Consider the following 7,355-nt stretch of genomic DNA (forward strand, 5'->3'; position numbering starts at 1 on the left):
AAAACTTGTAATGTATTAGAAGAAACATAAATAAGAAATTCATAGATATGAAGGTCTATATGTATCTAGCCCCTCAACGTTATTCCACTATATTTTCAAATTGCTTCATAAGAGCCAGCAATAATTTGGTTTTATTCCTTTATTTATTTATTCTGCACATATATATTGAGTAGGTTGAGATCTTAAACATGTAAGAGGCACAAAAATGTGAGTGTAACTCTTGAGGCTGCTTTTGTCCTGTGTTAAAATAATTAATGATGGAAATAGGTTATAATATTTTGGATATAATAGGAAGAAAATCAATCTATGCTGATATAAATAATTAAATTAATAATGTGAAAGTTGTATGAAAGACAGAATATTTACATGGTTTCAAAATTCCTTCCCACCAATTAACTATTAATTACAAAATGAAGGGTTTCTGCTTCTGTAACTCCTGTCGATCCAATTCGTTTATAACTACAAGAAAGAAAGAAAGAGAGAGAGAGAGAGGAAGAGAAGAGAAGAGAAGGAAGAGAAGAGAAGAGAAGAAAAGAGAAGAGAAGAGGAAAGAAAGAAAAGAAAAACTACTGCTTGATGAGAGTTTGCACTTTGAAAGGAAATGGCATTGTTTCTCATTGCATGCCTCTTTTTGCCTGAATGCAGATGTGAGACTGCCAATTTTAGGAGAATAAAACTTAAAAAAAAATTATCAGTCTTACTGGCTTAAAGAAAAAGTTGGAGCCACCACATCTGGAGAGTGAAGAAGTTCCACATTAAGGGAGAAACAGTGCCAAATTATGTGAATAAAAACTATTTAAATTTCTGATTATATCTAAACTATGGATGTTCAGAGCAGACTCCAAGAAGTCTAGCTAAATCTAGAAAACCTAAGGAAAATGTCATGTATCCACAGGGAAACATAAATTGAATTCTGAGTCAGGATAATTTAATGTATATTAAAACTAAACACAAAATGCTCTTCAGAGGAACATAACAGAATCTAGAGTTTTTACAATGTATCATCAGGATACCATACATATATTAAGACACACAAAGAGACAGAAAGATGTTACCCAAACTCAAGAAAACACAATCAATAGAGAGTACCCTGAGATGACATAGTTGTTGGAATTGCTAAAGATTTTAAAGCAGCTGCTATAACTTCTCAGGAACAAAAAATTAAATATGCATTATGAACAAATAGGAAATCTCAGCAGATAAATATAAACTACTTTGTCTATCTGAAAATATCTTTTATTCACCTTCATTTATAATATTGCTTTGATTAGATAGAGAATTCCACGTTAACAGGTATAGTTTCCTGAACAATGTCTCCAATAAAGGCATTATGTCCTTATCTGTGGAACCAATGAATGTTACCTTTCATCGTAAATGTTTGCAGGTGTGATTAAGAATCTTGAGACCGGGAGACGATCCTGAACTATTTGAGCGTGTGTCCCAAATGCCATCACAACTTTCCTGAGGAGCAAAAAGAGATCAGACACACAAAATAATATAATGTGAGGATGCAGGCAGACATTAGGATGATGCGTTCACAAGATAAGAAATGTCAGCAGACACCAGAAGCTAGAAAAGGCAAGAAATGGATTATCTTCCAGACTCTAAAGGGAGGGTTGTTTAGCTAACACTTTAATTGCAAAAGATCTCAGAATTGTGAGAGAATAAATTTCTGTTGTTAAGCTGCAGAGTCTTCAGTAGTTTATTATAGTAGCCCTAATAACCTAACATAGATTTGGTAAGGAATATGGGATGCTGTTAAAAAAAATAACACCTAAAAATTTGAAAGTAGATTTGGAATTGGATGATAAATAAAGGTTGGTCAAATTGTGAAGAATAGTAGAATAAGTCCGGATTGCCTTAAACAGCATGGACAGAAATAGGGAATTAAAGGCATTTCTGGTAAGTGTTCAATAGAAGTGCACAGAGTATGGTAGAAAAAGCCTGTATTAGTGCCTATATCAGTGCCCTTATAAATGAGACCTGAAGGAAACTGTTTGCCCATTCCACCATGTGAGGACACATAGAAGGTGCCCTCTATGAAGATTGGGCCTTCATTATACATCAGTTTTTCTGGCTCCTTAATCTTGGACTGCCTAGATTCCAGGACTGAGAACAACAAATTTCTGTTGTTTATAAATTACCCATTCTAAGATATTTTGTTACAGCAGCCCAAACACACTGACACCTTCCTACTTCTGTGTTCCTTATTGTGTGTGTGTCTGTGTGTGTGTGAGTGTATGTGTGCATTCACCTATCAACACATGGTAGAAAATGATCAAATCATATGTACATTTTTTCTGTACTAAATGTACCCTTTATGACAGCCGTCACTTTATTTCCTCTATTGTTATATCAACATCTAGAAGTCAGGCACATAATAGGAACTGAATAAATACTTGTGGATTAAATGAAGAATGTAGCTTTTTATTTATATCTTATACATTTATTTATTTTAATCAAGTATTGGGTTGAAATTTGGAAATGGTCTTTCTATAAACTATATTGATTCTTCACCTTTTTGTCAAAGAAAATTATATGAATGTATATAAGGTGGATATGATTACAATTTTAAAAGATGTAGTATATTATGGATACCACAGCAATTTAAATATGTATATAGTATTCAATAGTCAATGATGTGAAAATATTAAAGCTCTCTTATCTTCTGTTTCTTATTGGCCTAATTTCTGAAATAAAATACTAATTGAAAAAATCTAAGTTTGTAGATTCAAATTAGGAGAAAATTCTATTCTCAGATGTCATACTTGTTAAAATGCTTTTAACCACTTGGTCACACCAAACGTATCATTTAATGTAAGCAAAGAATGCAATTTATCAGTTATAATTTATCAGTTATAAATTTCATTCCTTGCTTAGATTAAATAATATGTTCTGTATCATAATATATAACTATCTCTAAGAGTCATAAAAATAGCTAACTTGAATGTTTCCAATGTTTGAATGGGTTCTAGATGTTGTGCTCAACAACTTTATAAACAAGGGCTTTGTGACCCCATTTTACAGAAATAGAAATAAAGTACAGGGTTGTGAATTACTTCTGCTTGAAAGACCAGTGAGCTATAGAAGATCACTCAGGTAGTGTGCAGAGCAGAGGCTTTGCTCCAACCACCAAAGCCCATTGCTTTTTTCCCTCATAGGATTCCAGTACAATATGCCTCCAGTCACATTTGGCATATATCATGATATCAGTGATATCAACGGTTTCATCAAGCAAATTTAGGACCTACATTTAATATTACACATACACCTATACTAAAGTTATACAATTTTCTAAATAAATATTAGTTTCATTTACCAAGTCTATTTAAGCTAGTGAATTATCTATAATCAAAACTTATGGTTAAAGCTTTGAATAAAGGAAATATTTTAGAACATTTAACCAATAATAATATTCTCTTTTAAGAAATACTTCACATAAACATACATAATAATAGGAAAATAAGCTAAATTTTAAAAATATATAGGACAGTAATGGTATACACCACATAGATAAAAGTGCCAACTGGGGATAAATAACACTTCTGAAAAGTTGCAGTAACAAAGTATCAACTAGGTGTGATAATGATACACTGGAACTGAAGCTAAATTAAGTTTTATGCTAAATGATTATTGATAAGAAATATCACATATTAAAAATAAAATTTTGCTATTTGGGTGGTGTTTTGAGAACAGTATCAGTAAAACATCAACACTCTGTGTAAAAAGTTTTTAGAGGCCGAGCACAGCGGCTCACTCCTGTAATCTCAGCACTTTGGGTGGCCGAAGCAGGCAGATCCCCTGATGCCAGGCCTTTGAGACCAGCCTGGCTAACATGGTGAAACCCTGTGTCTACTAAAAATACAAAAATTAGCTGGGCGTTTTGGCACACACCTCTAATCCTAGCTCCTACAGAGTCTGAGGCAGGAGAATCACTTGAACCCGGAAGGTGGAGATTGCAGGGAGCTAAGATTGCACCACTGCACTACAGCCTGGGTGACATAACAAGACCCTGTCAAAAAAAAGTTTGTAGAAATTGATAAAAGGAAAGCTTCAAGTAATTACAGCCCTAATAATGTCCTCTACTAATCATCAAGGCTCAAATAAGATTGATTGGTGAAGTTAGTATATATAAATAAGTTGGTATAACCAACAGAGCCTCTGGAATTCATAAATGTAAAGGCAATGGGAGCTATACTAAAATGACACATTATATTTACAATTTCTAAATGGGCTCATGTTGCATTTTCTAGGGAAAAGATGGGCTCATCAAAGCAACAATTAGAATATTCCTGCATCAGTCACCCAATGAGCCCCTTGCCTATACATCCTATATTCATGCTCTCTTTAGTCCATCATCCACAATGCAGTCCAAGTGATTTTTCAAAAATAACAACCTCTTGATGGCTTTTTCTATAGGATCCAGACTGCTTAGCTCATGTTGGGTATGAAATTTCCTAACATACTCATTTGAGTTTCATGTATGCACAACTATATTCTGTTATATACAAAGCTGATATCTTACCCTGAACTATCTCTGTTCCTAGTTCAATCAATTCTGCATTTTATTTGTCCATCTAGTGGTTTTTCTGATCAACTAAGAATTGATAAATGAGGCTCAATTAAAGTTTTATATTTGGCTTACCTTCCCCTACTCTATTTGATTCTAAGGAAGTCTTACCATCAGAACACTCATGCTCATGAGATTATTCTTTTCAGTGTAAGAAAAACGTAGCCCTTCTTCTCGGGGTTGGCTGTGTTGTTCTCTGTTGTTTAATTAGCTCACATCATTTTGTGTGTATGTGGGGTGGGTGGGGTGTGGCTTCCTCAAAGTCTGAACCTGTCCTCTCAGCATCAAGTGATGCTTGTTTCTGGTCCAGATAGGAAAAGACTTGCAAGTACTGTTGGTGCATGTAGGTGTCCCAAAACACTTGTTTATTGACAATTCCATTCTCATAGATACACAGCCAATCTTCAGCCTTGCTTCCAGTACAACCCTTGAAATTTGCTGTTTGACCAACCACTTGGTTCATTGGGGTGGGCACAGCTTACATTCCCAGTAAGACTATGCACTGCATTATATATGGAATATAGATCAAAGATGTATGGGTCTCCTTTTTTGCTATGTTCAGGTCCATAAAACCTAGAGCCTTCCTTTGTGATAGGGCCTGAGAGGCAAGGGAGTTCCCATTATCCTCAGCTTGCTTCTACTTTTCTCACTCTTGCTGCCCCTCCCCTTACAGATTGAACACCTTTTAAAGTAAAACCTGTGAGACAATGGAGAGAAACTGTCCTGGTTAGCACATCTTGAAAATGTCCAGCATAGGACATCCAGCCCTCCACATTTCACCACAGAAATCTGCAATCTGCTTAGTGTGCTGCATGTTCCTCCAATTCCATGTTGTAAATACATACCTTTTGTTTCAAATTCTCCATGTCAATAGTATTTATTGGTGAGAAAAACAGAAAACTATAATCTGTTTTATATCAACTTATTAGTTTGCCATGAAATTACTATTCATCTTATATATTTTTAGGGAACAGTCTTCCTCAAGATCTGTGTAGATATCATCCCTCATCACTAAACTAATATACACAAAACAATGCAACTTTCCAGCCTCAGTTTCTTTCATTCCCTGCCTCACTCTCCCACTTTGCTCTTTAGCCATGCCCACATACTTCCAGTTCCCTAAAAGAAGCAAGGAATCCTCAACTTTTTGTCACTTAAATATGTTACTCCTTTTGCCTGGAGTACTCTTGTGTTTCTTTTCTACTACGTCAATTTACTCTTCTTTAGATTCTGCCTGGAAAATTCGTTCACCTAGAAATACTTCCATAACCTTCCCCCATCTCTCCATCACTGGGTTACTGGCACCATATCGCATCAGCCTGTTTATACTTGTCTGTCTTGCCTATTAGGGCTCTCACGTAATTCTGGCATTTCCTCTATTCCTTTAGCCACAAAACTAGCAATGCCACAGATAGTGTCTATTCATTCAGTAGGGTCACAAAATGAAGAAATAATGCAATGAGTCTCAAGGGGCATGCCAAATGATTAAGAATTAAATACTTGTTGTTATAAGCAATTAACATTTTCAAGCAGGTTGTTGCTACAATCTATCTTAGCCTAACATGACTGATAGAGCAATAAATATTTTGAATTAATTGAGTCACTTAGAAAACAACTTCAGAATGTATCTGTAATTAAATAAAATGGTGTGCAATTACCAAACCTGTTAACATTCTTATATTGTACAATAATTTGCCACTTCATCTCAAAAATTAAGTAAGCCAAGCTACACATTTAATATTGATAACATTTTGGGGGGCTGCTGTAGACTCCACAAAGAGAGAGAGAAGGAGAGAGAGAGAGAGAGAGAGACAGAGCTCTAGCTTGTGAACACTTATAATTTCTAGGAATAAAATACTAATTTAAAAAATCATGCATTGTTTCAGCCAGGAGGAGCCTTAACAAACAGAATAAATAAATATCATACAATATCCTGGAGAGACTCTTGGAACAAAAAAGAACATTAGGTTAAACATTAGGTTAAAAATGTAAATAAATAAATCAGAATAAAGTACAAACTTCTGTTAAAAATAATGCATCAATAGTAGCTGATTATTGGTGACAAACATACCATACTGATATAAGGTGTTAATAATCAGAGGAAATGCATATGAGATATATGAGAACTCTGTACTATCTTCACAATTTTTCTGTAAGTCTACAACTAATCTAAAAAATTAAAGAATATTTAAATACTGTTTGTAATATATTTATGAATACCTTAGTAAACTAGTTAAATGTGCATTTATAAAACACTTAACATTTATTTTAATATTTAAAAAATGCATTCTTAAGGAAAGCTCTTTTCGAGTATCTTCTAAAATATACCCTCATTGAGAAATATTTTAAAATTAAAAGTAACTTGTGAAAATACATTGTAGAAATGAATAAGGGAGAATATTTAATGTTATATTTATATTTCGTAAAATTAATATATAAATTTTCTACTGGAAAATATATTTTAATAATTTTTTTAACAACTCCAGTAGTGTAATTTCTAATATTTTTACAACATAAGAAAACTAATAATCACTTTCATTTTCTAAAAGTTTACATCACCATTGATAATTTTTCAGCCCATAATATCTCAAAATGACAATTTGGCCCACAGTATTCCCAAAGGACTAATTAAATACAAAGTCAAATAAAATTTTCTCTAATATATTCAAATGTATATATAAATATTTCAGGTAAGTGAATCTTTTCAAATAACCAGGTAAATGTTTAAATGAATTAATTATCCTTTTCTTTACATTTTATGCTTTATAATGATACTTGATTATTT

Source organism: Homo sapiens, chromosome 1, assembly GCF_000001405.40.
Source record: "Homo sapiens chromosome 1, GRCh38.p14 Primary Assembly".
Classification (NCBI taxonomy): domain Eukaryota; kingdom Metazoa; phylum Chordata; class Mammalia; order Primates; family Hominidae; genus Homo; species Homo sapiens.